Genomic DNA, 27834 nt, shown 5'->3' with positions numbered 1-27834 from the left:
GCACTGGTGCGATCTCAGCTCACCGCAACCTCCGCCTCCGAGGTTCCAGCCACTCTCCCACCTCAGCCTCCCCAGCAACTGGGATTACAGGAGCATGCCACTATGCCTGGCTTTTTTTTTTTTTTTTTGAAGCGGCACTTTTTTTTTTTAGTAGACGGAGGGTTTCACCATGTTGGCCAGGCTGGTCTCCAACTCCTGACCTCAAGTGATCGCCGGCTTTGGCCTCCCAAAATGCTGGGACTACAGGCGTGAGCCACTGCGCCTGGCCAACATCATCTGGTAAGCATATTTTTCTTAGATCCTACATGGTGGTTAGCTCAGATTCAAGGCATATGGGCGTGGTGCCTGGCCGCCCTCTGTTGGCAGAAACCAGTGAGAGGGAAGGAAGAGGCTCTGTTGGAGTGACATGGATCTTACAATCCCAGGGTGACCCCTGCCTGGAGGCTGCCTTGTGTCAAAGTGCTCTGATTTGGTTCGGGTACAGGGTACCATGAGTGTCCGGGATGGCAATGACTAGGCTATCACAGCAGGGCAATCTCCAGAGGAAAGTGTCTCAGGAAGGAGATAGCATGGCCACACTTTAGGAGGCTGGGGAGAGGACGTTTCCCCTGGGTGCAGTGATGTGAAAAGGGCTGGTAAAATCAGAAAGAGCCATATTCCGGGGGGCACAGCAGGAAGGCGCCTCTGGACAGGAGATGGACAAGAGGACACTTCCCAGCGACGATGGCAGAAGGAAAGCAGGTGTCGACTTTTTCTCTCGTCTGAAGCAAAAGAAACAATTATGAAGGGATTTTGTTGAAGACACAAACCTGTAATGAAAGGGATAACGCAAAAGGTAAAAACATCATCACACTTAAAAAAAAATTCGTAAGGTAAAAACATTGGCACACTTCAAAAACATGGTGAAATTTTTATAGATTTAAGGGGTACAAGTGCAGATTTCTTCAAAAAAAATCTTAAAAAGAAAACATGGTGGTTGTGCAAAACATAAACCCACAGAGAAAACATGAACCTGCAGTTTTAGAGAAAACATAAATCTGAAGAATAGAGAAACATATTTGGAAGCTATGCATCCAACAAAGGTCCAATCTAATCTCTAGAATCTACAAGTAACTCAACTCTACAAGAAAAAAAGCAAATAACCTGATTAAAAATTGGGCAAAGGACATGAACAGACATTTTTCACTGCACGGCAGTGAAGCCTGGGCTTTCATTGTACCCATCACCCGAATAGTGTATGTTGTACTCAGTAGGTAATTTTTCAACTCACACTCCCGAAGCCTTCTACATTTTGGAGTCTCCAGTGTCTATTATTCCACCCTGTAGGTGCATGTGTACCCACTGTTTAGCTCCCACTTAAGTGTGAGAACATGTAGTATTTGACTTTATTTCTAAGTTATTTCACCTAGGACAATGGCCTCCAGTTCCATCCCTGTTGCTACAAAAGACAATTTCATTCTTTTCATGGCTGAGTAGTATTCCATGGTATATATACACCACATTTTCTTTATCCAGTTATCCAATGGTGGACAGTTAAGTCAATTTCCTATCTTTGCTATTGTGAATAGTGCTGCAATAAACACATGAGGGCAGCTCTCTTTTTGATATAACGATTTCTTTCCCTTTGGTAGATACCCAGGAGTAAAGTCGCTGGAATGAATGTAGTTCTACTTTTAATTCTTTGAGAAATCTCCATGCTGTTTCCCTTAGAGGTTATTCTAATTTACATTCCCACCAATGGTGTATAAGGGTTTGTTTGCTCCACATTCTTGCCAACATTGGTTTTAGAAATTTTTAAGAATAGCCCTTATAACTGGTGTAAGATGGTGTCACATTTTTGGTTTTAATATGAATTTCTCTGATGATTAGTGATGTTGAGCTTTTTTTCATAGGTTTATTGATTACATGAATGCCTTCTTTTGAAAAATGTCTGTTCATATTCTTTGCCCAATTTTTAATTAGGTTATTTGCTTTTTTTCTTGTGGAGTTGAGTTCCTTGTAAATTCTGGAGATTAGATTAGACCTTTGTTGGATGTATAGTTTGCAAATATGTTTCTTCATTTTGCAGGTTTACGTTTTAGCTATTGATTATTATTATTATTATTATTATTATTACTATTATTTTGCTGTGGTTAGTTTAATTAAGTCCTATTTGTCTATTTTTGTTTTGTTGTATTTGCTTTTGAAGACATGGTCATAAATTCTTTGCCTAGGCCAATGTTCAGAATAGTTTTTTCTGGGTTGTCTCCTGGGACTTTTGTAGTTTGAGGACTGATATTTAAGTCTTTAATTTATCTTGAGTTAATTTATGTATATGATGGGAGGTCTGAGTCTACTTTCATTCATCTGCATGTGGCTATCTAATTTTCCCTACACCATTTATTGAATAGGATGTCATTTCCCCAATGTACATTTTTGTTGACTTTGTTGAAGATCAGTTGGGTATGTGGCTTCATTCTTGCTTCTCTGTTCTGTTTCACTGATCCATGTGTCTATTTTTATAACAGTGCCACACTGTTTTAGTTACTATAGCCTTGTAGTATAATTTAAAGTCAGGTCATATAATGTCTCCAGCTTTGGTCTTTTTGCTTAGGGTTGCTTTGGCTATTCAGCCTCTTTTTTGAGTGCATATGAATTTTAAGATTTTTTTTTCTAATTCTGTCAGTACACTTTTAAAAGCTGCAAAGCAGATGTATGACAGTAACTACTGACCCAGAGAAACAGAATCCAAGCCTGGATGTGAGGAAATATTTAGCTAATTATTTATTTAATTATGGTCAGAAAACAAGGAATCACCTAATAACTGAGAAAAGACTCTAACATGAAAGTAACTGAATCCAAAACAAAAACAAAATTGCAAACAATAGCAAAGGAAAATCACTTGAAAGAAATAGGATTATGCAAGGAGAAGAAAATTTCAAGAGTATAAGCAAAGGAAAATTATTAATATACTTGGGGATAAAAAAAGTATTGCATCTGTGAAGCAAGAATATGGGCATTATATTACATACAAATGAAATATCCAGAGACCAAAAAATAGCACTTAGGAATTAAAAACATGATATAAAACAGATAAGAGAATGTTTGGAACTTATGTTGAAGAAATACACCAGAAAGAACAGCTATACAGAAGAAAAAGAGGTCCAAGAAGAGAAAAAAGATTTAAAAAAGAAAAAAGGTATAGAAATCTAGAGTGCAAAATTGAAAAGAGAAGCATAATCTTTCATCAATAATAATCATAATTAATAACTGAAATAAATAAAAATAAAAGACCTCTAGGATTATCTAGAAATGGAGTAGTGGCTTCCTCAACAAATGAAGCCAATTTCAGATAATGGAGAGTTCTGATTCTGGGCACCGAAGAGGAGAAGGACAGCTTCCACCCTGGTTTTACTTTTCCTCAGTTTCTCTGCTACCAACTCAGTGATGGACACACATTTTCACCACTGATTTCAGTGGCTTTTGGAAGTTAAGGAATACACTGCTTTAAATTGTTCTGCAATTATAAACTAATTGGAAGTAAGGGCCTGAACTTCTAGCTCACTTCATGTTGACACCTGTTTTGCATACACTTTGACTGTAACTCACCCACATAACCCTTTGACCAGCTGAAAAAATGTCATGCCCCATCACTCTTCTAGTTTCAGGAGCGAAAAAAAGAAGGTTTTTTTGGATAGTGATAGCCTTTATTTTAGCAACAAGTCCAGCCACTCTCTTCTTACAAATGAGCAGACCTCGCCCACTAAAACACGAGGAGCTGGTTTATCAGCAAGACTCAAGCCTTTCCTCGCCCCCGGACTTCAGCTGCACTGCCTGCCCTAGGACATCTAGGGCCTTGTTGAGTTCTTGCTTCCCAGCAGGCAAATTTCTGCCATTTTTCTCAGCACACCCATAAACCTTGAAATTCCTCTCTGTGCACAGCCAGAAATAATATTCATTGAGAGGCAGGCAAAGCCAGTTAGACCTGCTGGCTCTCTCACCTTGCCCTTCTTAAGGGACAAGCAGGTGGATTATATCAAGTCATGAAGGAAAATCACAAACCCTGTATTGAATTTTTTAAAAAATACCTTTTGCTTACGAACTAATTCTGCATTTGCTGCCTAAAGAAAATGTAAAGCCTTCCTTAGGCAAGACACTGCTAGTACCACAGTGAATTACAAAGTAGATAATTAAACAGTCTCTTGCTTTCACCAGCTTTCCCTAATAAGAGTCAAAAGCATACACACTGGCAAACACAAAAAGTTCTACAACTAAAGCCCCTGTTGAGACTCTGTCCATCCACGAATGTCCCTGAGTAACAGTAACAGGAATGTCCTAGGGGGCAAATTTGACTCCACACCTGCACCATTGCCTGGGGCTCATGCTTGCCAATTTTGGGTTAGCGGATCTGCTTACTCATCATCTCATTATAGCTAACACCAATGGCACATTTCAGGCACCATGGTGCCCCTGTGCTCCTCTGCTTAATTTTCCAACACTGAGACAGCAGCTTTCTTCCTCTCTATGCCCAGGTGAGAATCTGGAAGTGCAGATAATTTGCATAGACTGTCCCAGGTCAAACAGGATGGACCAAGGCAGGGAGAAACCCCGATCTCTAGGAGCCCATGCCTTCATCATGAATGTGTGTTACAGGACAGTTCACTCCTTCGTGTTGTGTAAGGACATAGAGAAAGGAGGAAGGCAAAGAATTCCAAGGGAGGAGAATTTGTAGAAAGCTGCAAGGTTTGTAGATGTTATTTTACCTTTTTGTTTCTTAAGAAAATGTTTGCCCTGTCTCAGTCTTGTAGATAGACTGCAAGCTCACGAGATAGTATGTTTATTTCTTGATACGAGAGATGATTCCGTGCTATCACATGATCCTTAAACCCTAGAGGCTCAACAGAATCAAGACTTTTTTTCACACATTCTACCTTTGCAACATGCAGAGGAGGGCCCAGCTCCATCCCTCAAGTGTTTTGTTCCACCCTCCAGAGCAGAAGGCCTTGAAGACACTGGTCAAACAGGGGTCAAATGTGCAGAGTAAACCCAGACTCATCTTAAAATTCCCCTTGGGTTCAGCCCACAAGTAGCACATGTCACTTGCATTCACAGCACATTGGCCAGAAATTGTCACATGTCCTCACCTAAGGCTCAGTGGGCTGGGAAATGGAGAGAAACGTGGCTGTTGTATAGGCAGTGAATAGACTTTTACTTGCTTACTATGGACCATGCATTCTATGGTCTTTTAAATACTAATTCATTTATTTCTCATGTCAACCTCTAAAGGGTTGCTATCAAGTCTTTTTTTTTTTTTTTTTTTTTTGAGATGGAGTCTCACTCTGTCACCAGGCTGCAATGCAGTGGTGCGATCTCAGCTCACTGCAATCTCCGACTCCCTGGTTCAAGCGATTCTCCTGCCTCAGCCTCCTGAGTAGCTGAGATTACAGGTACGTGCCACCACGCCAGCTAATTTTTTTTTTTTTTGTATTTTTAGTAGAGACAGTGTTTCACCATGTTGGCCAGGATGGTCTCGATCTCCTGACCTTGTGATCTGCCCACCTCGGCCTCCCAAAGTGCTGGATTACAGGCATGAGCCACTAGCGTTGCTATCAAATCTTAAAATGCATAAAAGACCAAGAGATGAAATTTCTTCCACATAACTGGAATGGAGAAGGGCACACCAAAGTCACGGTTCATCTGAATTAATGAGAAGCCTAAATTATAGGATCCTACAAGTCTACCAGCAGCAGCTAGGGGCACTGGGCAGATCAGGGTGACCTGCAATGGCCCCATCAATTGCACTTGAATGCGGGTGGGCCCCAGGTCTGCATTCCTCTCCTGCACCCCTCATTTGCATGCATGGCTCACAGAGTGAAGGAAACTGCTGCAGGTCACTCCCTAATTATCACAGGTTCTAAGTCAGGAGAATGTTAATGACTGTATAGGTCTTCACGGTGCCTAGGTGTTTTCCCTTCTGTTTGGTCTCAATCTAATCAATCTTAAAAGTGTTATCAGGTTACCCTATTACAGATATCAGTCATTTTGTTCACTGTTTTATTAGTTAGGAGTCTTTGTGTGCAGGCAACAGAAACAAACTTTTAGCTTAGAATGAGAGTTTGTTGTAAGGACTTGGGGTGTCTCATGGAACCAAGGAATAGGAATGCAGGGGAACTACAGGAAGAAACTGGAACCGGGGCTCTGCTTCCCATGCACATTTCTCTCTGTACGTGGCTCTCTCTCTTTTTCTTTTTCTCGTGCCCTTTCTTTCTTTCTCTCCTCTTTCCTGTCCTCTATCTGTTATCTATCATCTCTCAATCCATCCATCTATCCATCTCTCTTTCTGTCTCTCTCCATCTATCCATCTAATGTCCTATTTTGTTACTCCATATAACAGGATCTGGCAGCCTCTTAATTCCCAATTGTTTGTCTATTACAGTTCTAACCCTTCAATGATAAAGACTGAATTCCAAATCAAAGAGTGAGAGGACGATAGCCCAGCTTCGAGAAGGTGTCTGTCCCTGACCTACTCAGCCATGGCCAACCTGTGGGATGACTGCTACGGAGATGGGTGTCAGAGGCCTGTCCCTCAGATGGGGAAGGACCTCACTTTCTTTTGGTGAAAATTAAATGAAGCATCATTTGGGTAAAACCTCCACACAGTCCCTATGTTGGGGGGTGCTCTCTCAGTGTTAGATTTTCTACTTCCTACTTGACTGCCTTCTCCCGCTTCCTGTCCTTCTGTTTGTTAATCATTATTTTATAGTTACCAATACAATAACTGAAGTTTCTTGGGTGTCTTTAATTTGCTTCTAGATGGCAGACTAAGTACTAGAGGAAGACAGCAGCCATTTGGAGAACTGAGCGACATCAGCAACAAATAGGAGCAAAAGCAAATTAAATCCTTCATTTTAAAAATGTAATGATATAATTAAAACAAGGAACCATAACCAATTGTTAATAGATGCCAGAAATAGATATTTCACTCAGAGCAATATTTTTTCCCCAAAACAAACAAAGCCTTGGCTGGCAACAGTAGCATATTCCTTTTCTATCTAGACCAGTGGTTTCTGGCCAGCCTGGCCATCCTTTTGCCAGATTTCCGTTTCTTCTGCGACAGAAGCCCCTGGGATGGCAGTGCTTCCACACTCAGAGCTGAGCTCACCGTAAAGCTGTTCATCTCCAGGAGTCTGGGATCCAAATTGCTTCCTGTAACCACCAACAGCTCTACCAGAAATGACCTGGAAGCCTTTTGATTCTCTGAGTCCTGGAAAGCCCAGTGACCCTGTTGCCTCCCATCCTTGTCCACGCCTTCTGCAGATGTTCATCCTGAAGCCCTTTCCCTCGGGGTGTGACCTGCGCTTCCCAGGCTATTGACTTCCAGTCATCTAGAGTGTGTATCCCTCGGATCCGTGACCCACACTCCCATGCAATGGTGTTCCAGGCATCTGGAGTGCGTATTCCGCTCCATCTTCAGGTATAAATGGAGACCTAGACAAGGGCCACACCACTGTCTGCTCCCCTGAAGATTCCTGACCCCATCTCATGGTCAATTCTTGCAGTGAGAGCAGGAGTTTATTACCTTTGCCATTAAGGAGCAAATGTTTCTACCACTCCCTCTAAACCCCATCTTATCTGGAGTACAGAATCTATATACTTTGTAATGCATCATTTCAGCCTCGGCTTTTTTAACTCTCAAAGCTGCTCCTTTTCTTGTTTTTATATATCAAACCTTCTTTTAAACAATTAAAAATTGTAAGACAAGAATAGCCTTCACACTGAATAGAAGAAGAGGTGAAGAAGTATAGTCACTTGACAAGCCGCCATCAGCACTTCACACAATAGAGGTGACACAAGACCACAGGAGGTAATATCAATACACAAGAACTCTTCTGAAGAATTTGCAGATGGAACCACTTACAATTCCTGGGAATAAAAGGGTTGTGTCATGAAGCTTGGTGTCAGTGTGTTGTCAGGGCTAAGTCAATGGACACCAACCCAAAAAATCCTCATAGTGTATTTGCTGTTAAATAGGTTGTTCATTGGCAGGGAAAATAATGAGAACTTGGGGTGGGGACATAGCCCATTGGTCTGGCTGTCCTTGGAGGCAAGTGTAATAATGGGAGTGATTTCTCTGGGTGGCACCTCCCAGAGTGGGCTGCGTTGATCTGATTCTAAACTCATAGTCAAGTCTCCTGAATTAGAACACTCTTCCTTTCAGAAGTATAAATATTTCAAAATACACCCCCCTTTTTTTTTTTTGAGACGGAGCCTCGCTCTGTCGTCCAGGCTGGAGTGCAGTGGCGCAATCTCCACTCACTGCAAGCTCCGCCTCCGGAGTTCACGCCATTCTCCTGCCTCAGCCTCCCCAATAGCTGGGACCACAGGCGCCTGCCACCACACCCAGCTAATTTTTTTGTATTTTTAGTAGAGACGGGGTTTCACTGTGTTAGCCAGGATGGTCTCAATCTCCTGACCTCGTGATCCGCCCGCCTTGGCCTCCCAGAGTGCTGGGATTACAGGCGTGAGCCACCATGCCCGGCCAATACATCCTTTTTCACTTGAGCATTCATTTACCTTTTTTCTCATGTGCTGTATGTATTCTTCACTGATGCAGATTAGAGAGTTCATAAAAATGCATCATAGACCCATTTAAACTATATGATTAACTGCTAATATGTGATATTAAGTTGTAGGGTTTTATGGAGATGAGCACCTATAATTATATTTGATGGTATATGATAATTACCTGTTTGGTTGAATTTTAAACTATGATGACTTAAGAACATTCATCAATCCATATACGGCTCAAAGTCTGATATAAAATTACAACTCATTTTAATTGTTTTTTAAGTAATCAAACTGACATCTCTCATGACATAAAGCTTAAAAGAGACTGACTGATTTTATAGAGATGATGTTAATAACAGTGATTGGAATACTAATTGAAAAATACTTTTTAGAAAATGGGAAATTCTAATCAATATTTTCCAAATGGACTAATTAAGTGTGAATGGAATGTATCTACATTTCCAATAAAACATACAAAAATTCAGCTTGGGCCAGGCATAGTGGCTCATGCCTGTAATCCCACCACTTTGGGAGGCCAAGGTGGGTGGATCACCTGAGGCCAGGAGTTTGAGACCAGCCTAGCCAACATGGCGAAACCCTGTCTCTACTAAAACTACAAAAATTAGCCGGGTGTGGTGGCACGTGCCTGTAGTCCTAGTTACTCCGGAGGCTGAGGTATAAGAATCGCTTGAACCCAGGAGGCGGAGGTTGCAGTGAGCGAAGATCATGCCACTGCACTCCAACCTGGACAACAGAGTGAGACTCTGTTTCAAAAAAAAAAAAAATTCAGCTTGGATTCTTGTTCCTCTAGAAGACCAGAGCACAGAGACTTCCATGGAAAAGGTGTTGTTAATAATAGCAGCAGAGAAGTAAAACATTCACCACCTCCTTAGGAAAATCTTCACAACTTTCTTTAACTACTCAACCACACTCCTCCTTTTTCTTGTACCCTTTTTGGCCTTTTGGAAGCTGGCTCTCTCCCCTACCAAGTGATAGATTCCATCGTAGACACAAGATTCCTCATGTCACCTGACAACAAGCTCCATATCCCAATGGGTCCAGACACAATGTTTGCTGATGTTTAAATTGTCCTTGGGCCTTTGAAATATTCCTTGCCCCCATGGTTTCGCTGCTTCCTCCAATGACTCACCTCTTGATTAATCCTAAATGACAATAGGTGACATGCGGCTTGACCTAGGGTTCAAGTCTCCTTCAGCTTTGAGGTATACATACCTAAAATGTTGACACTTTGACCCCATAAATGGGGCAGGACCACATACAAAGATGAGACCTATGTAGAATCTGACCTTCAGGATTCTAGCACCCCAAATGCCTCACATTTGCAATTTGAACAAAGAGGAATGAGCAAATAGTGTGAGCAGACTGGCATGAGGAAGGCATCCTGCTATGTGCAGGGATGATGCAGGAAGACAGAGTTCATGCCAGAGCCGGCCTATGCGCCAGCTCAGAAGACACGGCTGCTAAGCTGCTGAGGTGGCAAGGGAGAAAAAGGTAACAAAAGGGTGGGGGTTGGAGGAAGGCCAGACAGAAAGCATACAGCACGCAGGGCCTGACATGTATATTATGTGCAGAGCAAATCTCACCGGAAAGATACACTTTCCGTATCCTTAGTTGTTTCTCTTCAATTCCTGCTGCAGTATATGTTTCATATAAGCTGATGAGAAATTTAGAAGATGGTAGCTCTAACAGAATAGACATGTTTTTTTTTTTTTTTTTTTGGTGAGGCTAGCACTATTTTGAGCTTAGTTAATAAAACAGAAATTTTAGTGTTTTTACAAAAACTTTACATTCTGTTTAAAAATGCATTGTTAGGCCACACACAAATAAATTATTTTCCGTTTGCACATGGACTGCCTTGCTAAAACAAAGTGAAATATAACAGTATGAAGGCAACTCTGTTGGAAAAAAAAAAAACTTAATGCTCAATTTTCTAATTATTACTACAATTAATCTTTCCTGCTACAATTTTAGAATACTAATAAAATTATTAAATTGAAGACTAGCTTCAACTGACAAAAGTGCTTAATGAGGAGGGTGCATAGATTTTATGTACATAATTGAAGTTTCAAGTTGAGGACTAATTTTCTAGTTAACCCTTCTGGGAGTTAAGAGACTCAATCATTTATACTCATTGAACAAATTCATGAGCCAAGAATCTAAGTGTTGATCTCCAAAAGAGGGGTGCAAATCAAAGATGAATAGGATATCCCAAACTCTGTTTAGAGCTCTTAAAAATGTACGTGATATTGTCATGCAATAAAACGAAAAAGATGATGTTATCTCAGGTCTAAGACAAGATCACTTAACATTAGAAATGTGTTCCACAGATATCAAATACACCAGTGACTTATTGAACCAACAGTGTATAGGATGCTGAAGTGAAGCCACCAAAAAAGCAGGTAATGATCGCTGCTCTCGGGCAGGTAACAATCTGGTAAGAAAACTGGATAAGGAGTTTCATCATCTGAATCAGGGGTATCAGTAACTCAGTCCACTCCAGAAGATTTCAAAGCTGTGAGTCTGAAGTGGCTCCAAGTTGGCAGAGAAGACTTTGTGTAATAAGGAGGGCTTCTTCTGGTACCCAGAGGATGAGGAAGATGATGGATACGGTTGTGCTGGAACGGGGAGTTGCCACCTGGTGCTTATGCACGCCTGCTGAGTTGAGTGAAATCAAAATCACACTGACAGCGTGAAGGGAAAAGCACCCTGCGAGTGACGAATTTAAAACATCGAAGAGAGAAAGGTGAGGCCAGGCAGTTTGACATGACAGTGCGGGTGGAATGTTAATAACCGCAAGTTCAGAGTGCCAGGGCACTGCTACACTATGGAGACCCTGAGATTTTATATAAAAAAACAAAGGATTTATACCTTTTCTATAGGCAGGTAAAATGTGTAAATGAAGACTTGTTGGGCCCCTAACTAATTCTACCATGAAATAGAACTCAAATTCCGAATAAGATATTTTACAACATCTTTTACAATTCATTAAAAAAACAATAGCAAGTTAGGGAGACAATGGGAGACTGAGCAGGACATGTGAGCAGGATTTCAGGGCCAGAAGCAGAGCTCCCAGCCTGCAGCACCCTGAGGCCTTATTGAACACAGTCAGCCTGAGCTCTGGTGTCCTCTGGCTGGTGACAGCATCCCTCCCTCACTCCCGAGAGAGTGTCTGCTAAGACAACTTTTTCATGAAAATAGGACTCTCTGCACAAAGATGAAGGGTTGATAAATTTTCTCCAAACCTAGGAAGGCCAAGGAACCCTGATTCTGAGTGGGGGAAGAAAAACAATCTCTTCTGAGAAATTCAGACCACAAGCTGATCCTCATGGAAACTTGCAATCTGAGTTTATGCAACTTGGGAACTCCACTAACCATGAGGCTAGTCATTTGGTCAAACTTGCCCAGGGCTGGGAGTGAACCCAGGCGCTTGGCAGAAACGTGAGTCCTCCACACCCTGAACCGGAGACTCGAAGGACAGCTACGGATTAAGTTGCAAAGGTCTCTTATCACACAAGGAAACAAGTTCTAGATCCACAAACAAGTGCCAGCAAGGAAAACAACAACAACTGCAGAAACTAACCAGCAAAAATATTTTGATATGGAAATACTACACACTGAATAAAAATAGGCATTTCACTATGCTTAATTAAATAGGGACACATAAAAAGTGACCTAAAAATAATCAGGAGATTTTTAAAAATTAAACTTTCCGATGCTAATTGAAATGAGAAATTCAATGAACAGACTTATCATTTTATTGGGAAAAATCCGAAGAGTGAATTGGACAGCAGATCTGGAGAAATTACCAAGAATACCATAAAAGCAGAAAAAAAAAAGTCGCAGAATATCATGTGCTTTAGGGTCAGGAAGGGATTGTTTTATAAATAAAAACAAAGCAAACAAAATATCTTGGAAAAGCACAATTCTGACATATTGTATTCCTCAAAATGAAGAACACTGTAAAGAAATCTAGTAGATACAAAAATAAGAGAATACATTTTCATTGGCCAAATAAATAAAAATAATATTTACATTCTAGTGTTTAGAAGAACTTTCTGTAAATAAAGAAGGAAAAGACAGCAACCTCTAGTAGGAAAAATACAGGCTTTATATATATATAAGCATATATAACATGTACATTATATATATGGCTTGGTTGTACATATAGAACATGTACATTATATATACATAGCTTAGTTCTGTGTCCCCACCCAAATCTCATGTCAAATTGTAATTCCCACGTGTTGGAAGAGAAGCCTGGTGGGAGACGATTGAATCATGGCGGTGGACTTCCCCTTTGCTGTTCTCGTGATATTGAATGAGTTCCCATGAGATTTAGTTGTTTAAAAGTGTATAATGCTTCGTCCTTTTCTCTCTCTCTCCTGCTCTGCCATGGTAAGATGTGCTTGCTTCCCTTTCGCCTTCCACCATGATTATTAAGTTTCCTGGGACCCTCCAGCCATGTGGAACTGTGAGTCAATTAAACCTCTTTTCTTTATAAATTACTCAGTCCCAGGTAGTTCTTTGTAGTAACACAAGAACAAACTAATACTATATGCAAAGGATATGAAGTGACAATTTGTAGAAAAGGAAACTGAAAAACAATGAATCAATGCTCAAAAGCTTAATTTAGTAAACAGAATGATGCTTATTTAAATAATATAATATCACATTCTGCATATGGACTGGCTAAGCTTAAGAAGCTAGGCAATGCCAAGTATCACGGATGTAGGGGAGATGAAGGCCCCATTCACTGTGGGTGGGCTTGCAGACTGGAGCAGCCATGCTAAAGAACAACCTAGCACTCCCTAGTCAGGCAAAGCATGTGCAAACCTTACCCAAGTATATGCAGTTACCCTTGTACACATTTATGCTATGGAAATTCTGATCCAGGTCAGTAAGGGAACGTGTTCATGGGTGCTTGCTCCAGCATTGCCTGTGGGTCAGGCAGACGGGTGAGACATGGGGCAGTGCCCTGTAGAGTATGTTGGGACCAGCAGATCCTCTCTGCACATTATTAAATAGATGAGTCTTAAAAATACCATGCTTAGTGAAGAAAAAAAGGATAAGAAACAGAACAAGGTATAAAACATGATACCATTCACTTACATTAAAAATGGATTTGCATAAAGCAAAATACATATTATGCAAAAGCACAAACTAGCAATATTACGTGGATTAACTACTTTAGAATATTTTTCTCAAGGGTGGAGTAGAATGGGGTGAAGTAGGTGTTAAAAAGGAAGTTTTTCAAAAAAAGAGAAATGAAAAACCTCAGAAAGAAAAAATAAATAAATAAAAAAGGAAAATGCCATAGTGTATATGACAGAGGAATAAATAAATTGATAAATGGAGCACAATACAGAGCTGAGAAATGTATATATTTATATCTAAATAGGTAAATGGAGATCTGAATAAAACATATATGAAATTACAGTAGAGCTCACTTTGTAGGTCAGTAAAGGAAGAATGGGCTTTTCAATAAATGAAATTAGATTACTGCATCAAACCCCTAAAGACATAAATGTTAAAGACAAATTTAGAAATTTCAGAAAATAATATAAAAAAGCTCTATTCTCACCGGGTAGGAAAGGATGTTTTAATAGGATATGGAAAATTGCAAATTATAAAGAAGATAAATTAAACCACAACCTATTATGCTAAAATAATTTAGGTTACAGTGCTCTTAAAAATGAGGCTAATCAAGATATCATAAAAACAATGAAAACACAAGCACAAAGCAAGACATGATTATTTTCAATACATAGATCAACAGGAGAAATTCAAGTACCCAATAGAAAAATAGAAATAAAGAGTAATTTCACAGAAGAGGAAATGCGAATAACCAATGAACACATGAAAAAAAAAATCCCACCACCAGTAGTAACCTGGGAAAGGCAAATTAAAAACTAAATGAGATGCATGTTCTAATCCAGTGGATTGGCAACCTTTTTTTTAGTCTGAAAATATCTAGTACTGATGAGGATATGTAGTGATTGGAACATTTTTCTAAAACTGGTAGGAGTATAAATTTCTAGGACTATTTTGGAAAATCAGCATTATCCAGTAAAGCTGAAACTGTGCATTCTCTGTCACCCAGAAATTTCATTTTTATGTATAAACTCCATAAAAAAACTCTACCTTCCACCTCATCTCCCAGAATATGCATATATATGTACGTATGCATATTCATACCAATGTTCATAATAAGGACGTAGCTGGAAATAACTCAAATGCCTATCAACACAAAAACAGATTGAGACGGTTTAGTAGAATCTTTTTTTTTTTTGCTTTTGAGCCCAGGTTGGAGTACAGTGGCGCAACCTCTGCTCATTGCAACCTCTGCCTCCTGGGTTCAAGCCATTCTCATGTCTCAGCCTCTGAGTAGCTGGGACTACAGGCATGTGCCACCATGCCCAGCTAATTTTGTAGTTTTAGTAGAGATGGGTTTTCGCCATGTTGGCCAGGCTGGTCTCAAACCCCTGACCTCAGGTGATCTGCCCATCTCGGCCTCCCAAAGTGCCGGGATTACAGGCGTGAGCCACTGTGCCCAGCCTTTAGTACAATCATTTCATAGAATATTAGTCATCAGTGAAAAGAAGAGAATTGGAGAGACACAGAACAATGTAGATGCATCTCACCCAGTAGGATTCCGTTTATATAAATTTCAAAATATGCAGAACTCAATAAAAAACATAGAAATATGCACAGAAACCTGAAGAAAAGGGAGGGAATTATAGATAAGCATTCAGGAGAATGGTCGTATGGGTGGGGTGGGGCAGGTCAGAGGAGGTGCCTGCAGGGCCTTCAACGGTGACGTGTGTCTGGGCACACGCACGCACACTGGCATGGTCTTAAACTGACTCAGGTACACAGGTATTTCTTGTACCATTATTCTTATTGCTTAACATACATTTTGTAAGTATCCTTTGAAAGCTACTCATTATTTTTTAAAGCAGCATTTTTGTTTGTTTGTTTTGTTTTGTTTTGTTTTTTGAGATGGAGTCTCGCTCTGTCACCCAGGCTGGAGTGCAGTGGCACAATCTTGGTTCACTGCAACCTCCACCTCCCAGGTTCAAGCGATTCTCCTGCCTCAGCCTCCCGAGTAGCTGGGATTACAGGTGCATGCCACCATGCCTGGCTAATTTTTGTATTTTTCAGTAGAGACGGGGTTTCACCATGTTGTCCAGGTGGTCTTGTACTGCTGACCTCAAATGATCCGCCCATCTCGGCCTCCCAAGGTGCTGGGATTATAGGTGTCAGCCACTGCACCCAGCCCAACATTTTGTTTTTAAAGTTTGTGAGCAAGGAAATGCCCAGGGCAGAATATTATCAAAGAAACAACATGGAATTTGCGATTGGTCAGAAAACGGTCAGCCAGACATGAAGGTCATGTATCGTATGAATCTATTTATATGAAATATCAGGGCAGGTAAATCCTCACAGATAGACAGCAGATTTGTGGTTGTCAGGGGCTGAAGGAAGACGAGAATGGGGACTGACTGCTTCATGCGTATGTGTTACCTTATGGAGTAATTAAATGTTTTGGAACTTCATTGAAAGTGATTATTGCACAGAGTCGTGGACATACTAAATGCACGGAATTGTACACTTTACAATGATTAATTTTATGATATGTAAATCTCACTTCAACTTTGAAAACATTGTATTAAAAAAAACCCAAAACAGTCCAAGGTCTTAGTTCCAGCTTTGTTATTTACTAACTTGGGGGCTTTTCTCTGAGTATGCTTTCTTCTTTATTTAACAAGCATACAGATGCCTGTCACAAGGTGAACATTGTGGGACTAAGAATGTCATGTATATATCGTCCCTACATATAGTAGAAATTTAATAAATTATAGCAGTCCTTATTTTCATTGTTAATGGAAAAATCTGTAGGCTGTACATTGGAAAGACTTGAGTTTTTAAATCTTTGACCCATAAATATGTAATTTTTCCTAAGCTCCCCCCAAACAGCAGTAGCTGAAAGCATGACTGTTTCTTGCAAGTATGAATGCCACTACATCACAAAGAAGATTTTAGCCAATTTTCTAGGTCACATAACGTGTTTTATACATACACACACACACACACACACACACACACACACACACACGATTAAAAAACTAGCTTAATTCTTAAAACATATAGACATATACACGCACATAAATGCACACACATATATATGTATGCACATATATAGTATACATATACACACATACAGACACACACAGACACACACATATACACACACAGATGCACATATATATGTGTGTGTGTATATACGTGTGTCTATGTGTGTTAAGAATTAAGTAAAATAAATTAGTTTTTCCATCATGGGAGAAAAGCTCTGAAGAAAAGAAAAAAAAATTAGCAAATGCTGAGAGTACAATATAACAGAATTTCTATACGGTAGCAATTTAAAATGTATAATTGTATAGGACAAGGAAGAAGTTCTTTGCATGTTATTGATCTACACTGTATAGGAGCCGAGTAGGAGACCATTGATGTCATAATAAGAATTCAGGTGCATTTTCATTATTCATAGGCTAAAGCTCTTCAGCTTCATGAAACTTGTGAAATAAAAGGCAAAACAAAAAGCATCACTCCTTTATAGCTCTTTGCTCAGCAATTATTCAAAAACTTCAAAACAAAGACATTTTTTCTGGAAAGGTCAAGAAAACAAAACTTGGTGATTATACCTAATAAGCTTTTTGTTTTGTTTTGGTCTTTTGTCACACATACTGACATGGGTCTTCAGTCCTCACTTTAGTGAGCCAAAAACCTCAAGGACTTTTTTGCTTATATGGTTTTATTGCAGGTGACTTTAGCAGCAAATAGAATTAAAAATGATGTCACTATACTGAATATTAAGTCTGTATATAATTCATATTTGACATACTTAAAAATATTTGGCTGGGCGTGGTGGCTCACGCCTTTAATCCCAGCACTTTGGGAGGCCTAGGTGGGTGGATTGCCTGAGCTCAGGAGTTCAAGACCAGCCTGGGCAACACAGTAAAACCCTGTCTCTACTAAAATACAAAAAATTAGCTGGGTGTGGCGGTATGCACCTGTAGTCCCAGCTACTGGAGAAGCTGAGGCAGGAGAATTGCTTGAACCCGGTAGGCGGAGGTTGTAGTGAGCTGAGATCGTGCCACTGCACTCCAGTCTGGGCAACAGAGCAGACCCTGTCTCAAAAAAAATTCCTAACTTTGGATTTATTTTTTGAAAAATAACAACATGGTCTGACATGTAAAGACTTTGAAAGATCTCACTTCCATCTTCAGACCAAGAAAAAACTGATCAAACTGAAAATCAACAACTCTTCTTATATCCATCAGAGACTCGCAGTCACAGGGCAGACTGCTGCCCCCAAAACGGGAAAGAGGGGTAGATACTCAGAGAGAATAACAGTTTACTTGTGACAGAAACCCAGGAGCAGAAGCTGACACATTGGAGGCAGGACTGTCTGGGTTTGTGGTTTAGAGTCAATCATTTTTTGTTTGCTTGTTTGTTTTTAAAGACAGGGTTTCGCTCTGTTGTGCAGGCTGGAGCACAGTCGTGCCAACACAGTTCACCCTAACCTCAATCTTAAGGGATGTTCCCCGACCTCAGCTTCCATAGTAATTAAAATTAAAGGCCAGGAGTGCACTCTGGCACCTGTCTAATTTTTTGTTTTATTTCTTTTATTTTATTTATTTATTTATTTATTTTGAGATGGAGTCTCACTCTGTCACCCAGGCTGGAGTGCAGTGGCACGATGTCAGCTCACTGTTACCTCTGCCTCCCGGGTTCAAGTGATTCTCCTGCCTCAGCCTCCCAAGTAGCTGGGACTACAGGCACGCACCATCATGCCCAGCTAATTTTTGTATTTTTAGTAGAGACGGGGTTTCACCATGTTGGCCAGGATGGTCTCGATCTCATGACCTCATGATCCACCCACCTCGGCCTCCCAAAGTGCTGGGATTACAGGCGTGAGCCATCGCGCCTGGCCTTTTTGTTTTATTTCTTATTGAGATGAGGTCTTGCTATGTTGCCCAGGCTGGTCTTGAACTCTTGGCCTGAAACATCCCACCTCGACCTCCCAAAGCGCTGGGACTACAGGCATGAACCACTGTGCCCTGCCAGTGTCAGTCATTAATTTTGAAAAATTCTCAGTCATTATCATTTCAAATAAACAAATAAGATTTGTCTCAGGTATGAAAGGTTGGCTCAACATTCAAAAAGCAATTAACATAATCTACCACTTCCACAGTCTAAAGAAGAAAAATCATACAATCATATGTGAAAGAATTTGATAAAATCCAATACCCATTCATGATAAAACACCTCAGCAAACTAGCTATAAAGAAGAACTTTCTCAACCTGACATAGAACATCTATTAAAACCTACAGCTCTCCTCTTAATAAATAATGAAAAATTGAATGCTTTCGTGCTAAGATCAGAAATAAGGCAAGGATATCTACTCTCGAAATTTCTATTTAACATCAAAATGAAAGTTCTAGCTAATAAAATTAGCAAAAAATAAAAATTATACAGATTGGAAAGGAACAAATAAGACTCTCTTTGTTCATAGATGACATGATTATCTCTGTTAAAAAAAAACTCAATGACAGAAAGCTGGAATGAATAAGTGATTGTACCGAGGTTGTAAGGTACAAAGGAAGTATACAAAAGTCAATTGCTTGCCATATACCAGTAATGAACAATTAAAATTTAAAATTAGAAACACATCACTTATATTAGCACCCAAAAATGATACTTAAGTGTAAATCTGATGAAAATATGTACAAGAGCTAAAAGTAGGAAACTCAGATAAAACACATCAAAGAAGATGTAAATAAGTGGAGAAATATTCCACATGTGTGGGTAAGAAGACTCAGTGTTGTTAAGATGTCAGCTGTTCTCAACTTGATCTATAGATTCAATATGTTCCCAGTCAAAATGCCAGCAAGTTAATTTTTAGACATCAACAAATGGATTCTATTATATGGAGAGACAAAACACCCAGCTTGCCAAAAGAGTGTTGAAGAAGAACAAAGTCAGAAGACTTGCTCTGTTTGACTTCAAGACTTATTATAAAGCTACAGTAATGAAGACTGTGGTACTGGCAAAATAATAGATGAACAGATCAATGGAACAGAACAGAGAGCCCAAACATAGAATCACACAGTGCAATATACATATATTTAAGGTACACAATATAAAAGCTGTTATTCAAGGATTTGCTTCCATTTTATGCGTGCGCATAATATATAGAAAGTTATCTGGGGAGATGTACTAATAAGTAGTCAAGGTAAATGTTTTTGGATGGAAAGATGGCAAATGGATTTTTAAAATTATTATTATGTTTATCAGTGTTTCTACATCTATGTCTTTTGTAATTAAAATATTAGGTTTAAAAATGTTATTAAATTAACACAAAAATAAATTACACTGATGTTTTGTAGGAGCATTGTATGTAAAATAAAATAAAGTGAAACATGCAAGAACTTAGTGGAATATGCTTCCTTTTCCTTACTTTGTATTTGGGTGCTGAACATGCAGGTTTAGTCCATCAGAGGCCTCGACGGTGCCTTTATTCATCTTCCAACCTGCTGGTAATAGCGTGGCTTCTCATCTTTAGAACATGATCCTGTTCCTGCCAAGGGTGAACTCACGTAAGGTTTATCTGTACTATTTCATTTCAGTCCCTCCCACATCAAAGTATGCTGTGACCTACATAAGGACTTTAAAAGTGAGTTATTTTTTACCCTCAATCCTTCCTGGCTTCTCATGAGCTCATGGTCCTCCCAGCAGATAATTTTAAGCCATGTTTGAGTTTCTCCATAGAACTTGTCCTGTGCCATATTTCATTTAAAGATGGATATCCTTTTTCTCAGATAAGAACCAAATCATCCAGCCCTCTTTGTTATCTCTTTTTTTGGGAAAAGTCCTAGCAGCAGTGGGCTGGCACCCAAGAAGCCCTAAAATCATCCCAAACTGGCTATTCTCGGTTAATCCATCTGTAGACTGCTGTCCAGGAGGATAGAAATGCAAATTATTTGCAAGCGAGTGAAGTCCGAGCTGACCAGTGTATTCAGAAAATAGGCTCCTGCCATTAAATGACATTTCCAAATAATAAAAACATTCAGATGGCAAAACCAAATCAAACCTCAACCGAAAATAAGCTTCCTTACGTTCCCCTCCTGCTGCAGAGAAATTCTCCTAAAATGCTCCTGTGCCCCTGGCTGCCAGGGGGGCTGCCTCCTTACAGGCCTGAGGTGTCACCTGAGGTTTCCCATGTGGCAGGTGTTTCTCAGAAGAAAAAGAAAGCAGTGCTCCTTTGGGACCCAAAAGAGCTTTCTTCACATGATGAGGCCTTTAAAATGAGCAGGGTGGACTGTGGAGGTTTTGAGGAAGTGAAGTTGCCAGGTAGCCAGGAGATTCTCTGGGGTGGGTGGAAAGGCCCAGCAGATGCATCTCTAGCCTCGCAGGGGAGCCCGCCCTGGGCCCCTTGCCCTCATGAAGAAATGGGGATGAGTTCAACGGGGCTTCCACTTGCTTTTCCTATTTTTTTTTTTTTTTTTTGAGACAGAGTCTCGCTCTGTCACCCAGGCTGGAGTGCAGTGGAGTGATCTTGGCTCACTGCAATCTCTGCCTCCTGAGTTCAAGCAATTCTTCCGCCTCAGAAGGTGAGTAGCTGGAACTGCAGGTGTGTGCCACCACACCCAGCTGATTTTTGTATTTTTACTAGAGACCGGGTTTCACCATGTTGGCCAGGCTGGTCTTGAACTCCTGGCCTCGTGATCCACCTGCCTCGGCCTCCCAAAGTGCTGGGATTACAGGCATGAGCCACCGTGCCCAGCCTCCACTTGCTCTTGACCTGAGGGACCCCAAATGTGTGCACTCATTTTCTGACCTTTCCGACTAAATTTTTAGTTCATTGAACCCTCTTTCAACCGTTTGGCAACTATAAACCTGTATTTTCAGCAGCAGTCCTTTTTAGCCAGGCATGGGGGCTCATGCCTGTAATCGCAGCACTTCGGGAGGCTGAGGCGGGGGATCACTTGAGGTGAGGGGTTCAAGACCAGCCTGGCCGACATGGTGAAACCCTGTCTCTGCTAAAAATACAAAAAGTAGCTGGGTGTGGTGGCACACGCCTGTAATCCCAGCTACCTGGGAGGCTGAGGCAGGAGATCTCTTGAACCCGGGAAGCAGAGGTTGCAGTGAGCTGAGATTACACCACCGTACCCCAGCCTGGGTGTCAGAGTGAGACCCTGTATCAAAAAAAATAAATAAATAAAAACTAAAAATTAAATTATTAAGATATTTTTAAAATATTTATAAAAATATGTTTAGACCAGTTCACAAAGGAAATAGGGAAGGGGCTCCGCCCTGTTCATAATTACACAACATGGGCTCTCCTCTTGGTATTCCAGGGGCCACACTCTGGTCAGCAGGAAGCCACATGGATTTTCTAAGACAAAGTGAATTTATAAAATTGTAACTATTAAAGCATTTAGTTAATGCTGCTCAGATTTAATCACTTTAAAGGAAATGTCTCGACACACTATTTTTTTTAATTTTGTTTAGGGAATCTTAAAACTGGGAAGCAGGAGATAATAAGGCATAAACCAAAGAACGGTCAAGAACAGCAAAGGTGGGCAAAGCGAAGAAGGAGTCACAAGTTGAATTCTCTGAGTTTTCAAATTGTTTCTCCTTCTTTGCTTTGCCCAGTTAGTTTTTACCTTTGGTGAGCCACAGCCTTGATCTGTTCTCAGTTTAGATGACTGTGATATGAAGGCCTAGGTAAGAAGTACGACATATGAAAATAAAAACACAGTCAAGAGTGAATTTGAGGGACGTGGTTGTCACTTCACGGAGCGCTGCTGAAGCTGAAAAAAAACAGATCAACAAATCACGGCTATGAGGGGCCTTCACACGCGACGCCTGTGCGCCATGCTGTTCCTATAGGGAAGTCAAAGAGCCTGCTTCATTTCCGGGAATAAGCGATACATTTGTAACCCTGGAATCCAAAATATACAAATCCAACATGGAAACATAGGCAGGTCAATGCATTCGGTTTAAGTATGATACTCACAGGAAAGTAAAAGCTAACAGGAACACAATCGCGTAGCACACTTGAGAAATAATGGAATCAGACGATGAAGATGCTTTATCCCACAACTGGAAGATGGGTTTGGTTTTTGCCTTTAAGTTTTCAACAATGAGCAAAAACATTTCATAGAAAAGAACCAAGCTGATGAAAAAAAAACAAAAACAAATAAATAACAAGGACCACAGCCTGAGGCAGCTGGCACAGCACGGTGAAGACCCGGCTGGAAGTCAAGCAGGGGAAATCTCAGGTCTGTGCTTAGCTGGTGGGAAAGGGATCTTCCTGTTGGATTCCACAGCTCAGAAACCAGAGTACAAGCTGGGACTGACTCACCTCACCCCCGCGTTCCCAGCATTGATAAAGAAAACTGGCTCTGATCAATTAACCAGCGATCCCCTGCACAGCCCTTCTGAGCCGCTGCCGCATCCGGTACTGCAGAGGGCGCCTTTCACCCCACGGGAGCTCGCTGCCCCAGGACCATAGTGAAACAATCTCAGAAAATAAGTGGGTCCCCGGCCAAAGTGTCTGTTGTAACCTCGTGGCCATGAAGAGTTGTTTGAGTTGGGTAGGCTGCGCGTTGACATGCAGGTAAACGTTTGCATTGAGCAGTTTATGTCAACAGGAGCATCTTCATGTAGTAAAACCCAGTCCTTAGATGACAAGAATCCCTAATGCAGCAATGACTAGAGCTGGTGGAAAATTTGTTCAGAGGACAAATTTAGTCTAGAACACATTTTTTGTTCTATCTATATAGTTTCATCTAAGATATATAATGTTATATATACTATATACATATGTTATTTTTGTGGAGAGTGCTAATACAAAACCTAAAGAAGTTTGAAAATTAGTGTAAATATTCAAGTATTTTTAACGTCTTAGAAGTATACGAAAACAATGAAAAACCGTTTCTGCTGAAGACAAAAGAGACCCATAGTTTTAAACAGCACCCACAAAGCTTTATTCATGGGAGACAATCAGGCTCGTCTCCTGTGTCAAATGGCAGCAGTGACCTGGCCTCTGAATGAGATTTGGTGAGGTTTTAGGTTCTGTGAAAAGACTTGCAGAGAAATGGGCATGAACTCTCCTCTCCATAGGCTGGACAATAATCTAGATATCACCAACCCTGGAGACCCTGGCAGCCAAGACTACGTACATCGGAGGATCCGGGGAAGTACTAAGACGCAGAGGTGTGAAGAACCCTGGGAAGCTGTCAACATCAGCTCTGCAGGAGCAGGCTTGGTCTCCCTGGCCTCCTAAAGGTGAAGCAATGGCTGCATAGGGGCAGAGACCTACCTGTTCCTGAATGGGAGAGACAAAAGGACAGGTGAATGGGAAAGAGGCTTCATCCAGGAGTCTTGGGGGGTGATGTATAGATACTCCCTGCTTCTATGCTGGTGGCCCGTGGAAGGATAAATCATTCTTCCTTTCTCCATGCTTAGAACTGCCAACATTTGGGGTGCAGGTAGAGAAAATTAAGAGATCAAAATATCCTAATTCTAGAGGTTTGAAGGGATTTCTTTACAAGACACTGGAACAGCATCCAAGACCGTATATGAGAAATGTTGACTGCCTTTTGAAGTAAAAGAAAGTCTGAATATACAATTATTTGGAAAAATATATCTGCCTTATACCCCATCTGAAAAAGTTCTTGGGAAAATACTTGAAACCAAATAGCAAATACAACCTAATAGAGAGCTCAAGGTGGGCCATAAATAAATATTCTGTAAATGCAAACAAAAACGAAAGCTAGGATGTCAAGCTGAGAGATTGTTAACTTTAAAACTAAAAGCACAAAGCAATAAAGAAGAGAGTCTGTTGTTTATATGTACTAAATTTTACAGGCCTAAATAATAAAGCATGAACTAAACTATTAATATTATATCTTTAGTGAGATAGTTTAATCTGTCTTTTTGAGAATTGGATCAATTTAAAAGATAAACAAGTATTTCATAAAAATTCAAGTATAAAATAAATGTGATTAAAAATTAAATAATAAAATAAGTAAATGAGAATGTGAAGTAATTGATATTCATAGAATCTTATATTCCTTGAGCAGACAATATTTTTATTCACATGTTTATGGTGATAGAATATTTATAAAATTAATCATTTTCTTGGTCAAAAGATGAATACATCTAGACACTTAACGCAAAGTTTGACGACTATTATTGATATTATTATATTGTATGTGAAACCTTGCTAAAAGAATAGATTCTAGGTGCTCTTGAAGGGAAGAACATGGTCCCTTTAAATGATGGGGAAGCGGGGAAGGGAAGTGCGGAGTAGAGGAGGGCGTGGTCCCTGGCTAGGGCTCCACCCCCACGGACATAGGTGAGGTCAGGCACTCCTCACTTCATGAACAAATGTTGCATTTCCCAACACCACCCTGGCCTGCCGCGCCCCCATCCTGTGCCTATAAAACCCCGGGACACCTTAGTAAGTAGACATACAAGCGGCTGGACGTCGTGAAGAACACTTGGGTGGAAGAAGACACAGAGGCAGCTGGGCGGAAGAAGACACAGAGGCAGCTGGGCGGAAGAAGACACAGAGGCAGCTGGGCGGAAGAAGACACAGAGGCAGCTGGGCGGAAGAAGACACAGAGGCAGCTGGGCGGAAGAAGACACAGAGGCAGCTGGACATCAAGAGGAACACACTGGCAGGCGCTGGCACATTGGCAGGCCACCTACCGGCAAAACGACGTGGAGTTTGGCCAGGGCAGTCAAGAGGAGAGCCCAGGTCGCTGAGCAGCCCGACTGCAAGGGAAAAACCATTTTCCTTCTGGCTCCCCCATCCGCTGAGAGCTACTTCCTCTCAATGAAACCCTGCACTCATTCTCCAAGCCCAGGTGTGATCCGATCCTTCTGGTACACCAAGATAAGAACCCGGGATACAGAAAGTCCTCTGTCTTTGCAACAAGATAGAGGGTCTAATTGAGCTGGTTAACACCAGCCTGTAGGTAGCAAAACTAAAAGAGCACCCTGTAACACACGCCCGCTGGGGCTTCAGGAGCTGTAAACATCCACACCTAGACACTGCCCTGGGCTCGGAGCCCCACAGCCTGCCCCATCTGTATGCTCCCCTAGAAGTCTGAGCAGCGGGGGCCTGAAGAAGCGAGTCACACCTCCGGGCACACGCCCTGCAAAGGGCACAAGGGAACCTTTCTCGTTTCACTCTCACTACGTAGACACACACGCAAGGTAACTACCAAAGATAATACATAGAATACTTCACTGTAGTAATCACTTGTTTTCATATGTATACATATATACACACACATATATATGTGTGTGTATATATATATGAAAACATTATGTTGTGCACCTTAAATATATACAATGAAAATACATAAGTACATTTTTTAAATAAAAATTTTGTTGAGCTTATTCTGTGAACATAAACTGATATAATAATATAAAGGGGCTGAAAAGTAAAATCTCTTGGGAACTAAGAAATACATTCCCAAATAAATGACTCAATTCAAAGATATAATCAAAAGAAAAATTACAACTTTGTAAAAAGTCATGAAGAAGAATACTCTTCCTATCTAAAACTGTAGAACAAAGTGAAAGCAGTCCCCCGAGAGGGGGAAAAAAAATCACATAAAATATCATCTTTATTTTCAACGAAGCTAAAAAATCAAAGGGAGTTTGTCCTCATCCTAAGAGTATAAAAAATTCCAACAAAAAGCGAATAAGAAATGTAAATTGATATTAAAAACTAAAAAACAAAAAGGTAGCAAAAATTTAAAAATTCAACTATAATTCTTATATCAAAGTAATGATTTTTTCAATATTTTATTGTGGACAATACAAATGCCATAAAACATCCTAACCATTTTCAAGTGCACCGTCAGTCTGTTAGTGGCGTTAAGTACATTCCCACTATTCTGAAGCCATCATCACCATTTCTCTCAGAGATTCATCTTGTAAAACCGAAGCTCTAAACTTCATCACACAACTCCCCACCCCCTCCACTCTCAGGCCCTGGCAAACACCATTCTTCTTTCTGTCTCTATGAATCTGAGTACTCTAGGAAACTCAGGTAAGTGAAGTCTTACAGTGTTTATACTTATACATTACGCTTATTTCACTCAGCATAACGTCCTCAAGGCTCATCCATATTGTAGCCTCTGTCAGAATTTCCTTCTTTTTTCAGATTGAATAATATTCCATTGCATGTATTGACTGCATTTTCCCTATCTGTTCATTGGTTGACAGACATTCCACATTTTAGCTATTATGAATATTGCTGCCATCAACACCAGGTACAAATTTCCCTTGAAGACCCCACTTCTTTCGGGTATGTACCCAAAACATCCCAGTTATACTTATTTTTTCATAGTGGCCATCCTAATCAAAGTTAATTTAATTATATTAATGCCTCATGAACTTCTTTAAAGGAAAAAGAGAGAAGGCAAAAATAAACCAAATTATGAGAGAGAAACAAGGAATAACCATACATATAGAAGTGATTAAAGCAGTCATAAAAATATATATGAAACTTTCTGACAAGACATTTGAAAGTTTAGAGGAAATGGATGATTTCCCAGCAAACTATGTGTTGCCAAAATTCACCCAAGAAGAAAGGGGAAACTTAAATACATCAGTTACCATAAGAGAGTTTAGAAAAAGACACTTAAAAATCTACCATTGAAAAAGTCACTGAGAACAGATGGGTTCCCAGCTGAGGTTTATGTAACATGAATTTTATATAACCTTTAAGAAAGAGAGCTTTTCAAAGTTAAATTATTCCAGGCCTTAGAAAAAAAGATGAAAGGCCTCCCCAATTCATTTGACAAAGGCAATATAGCTCTTTAAAAAATCTGATATAGAACAATAAAGGAAAATTGTACCCAGATCTGGTTTATGAATACAGATGAAAAATTTATTAAGTAATAGGAATTTTATTTCAGCAGTATTTTCCTTTATTTATCTGATTTTATTAGTTTATGTTGGTGTTGTTGAGCACCTAATATGTTCCATATACTTTTATCTGTGTCAGAAATGCAGAAATAGAACAAAAAACAGAAGTCTCTACCACCCTTCATGGAGCTTCCACTCTAGTGTGAAGAGAGAGACAAGAAACAAACTAAGAAGAAAACACATACCTAATATGTTAAGTGGTGATAAGTGAAATGGATGAAAGCTGAAATAAAGAATGTAGGCAG

General features: G+C 40.3%; 1 long non-coding RNA gene across 2 annotated transcripts, besides 1 other annotated feature; it reads right to left on the bottom strand.

The window, feature by feature from the left end:
* Nucleotides 1–276: 276 nt before the first annotated feature.
* Nucleotides 277–25165, bottom strand: LOC105376368 (uncharacterized). 2 transcript variants are annotated; one of them, XR_930586.4, is made up of 4 exons: nucleotides 25118–25165; nucleotides 22653–22811; nucleotides 20091–20210; nucleotides 277–809 (listed from the first exon to the last, which is right to left on the bottom strand). It is a non-coding gene; the product is annotated as an uncharacterized LOC105376368 (long non-coding RNA). The 2 variants fall into 2 exon arrangements; XR_930587.4 differs by having other exon boundaries at nucleotides 277–761.
* Nucleotides 25363–25657: an enhancer, noted in NCBI's record as "tiled region #11939; K562 Activating DNase matched - State 3:PromF". NCBI's record gives its function as "activates a minimal TATA promoter and a strong SV40 promoter by Sharpr-MPRA in K562 cells {active_cell/tissue: K562}" and the evidence as "EXISTENCE:reporter gene assay evidence [ECO:0000049][PMID:27701403]".

The sequence above is a fragment of the Homo sapiens genome, chromosome 10, assembly GCF_000001405.40.
Source record: "Homo sapiens chromosome 10, GRCh38.p14 Primary Assembly".
Classification (NCBI taxonomy): domain Eukaryota; kingdom Metazoa; phylum Chordata; class Mammalia; order Primates; family Hominidae; genus Homo; species Homo sapiens.
Note: the sequence above shows the minus strand (reverse complement) of the source record. Positions and strands in the feature narration are given on the sequence as shown.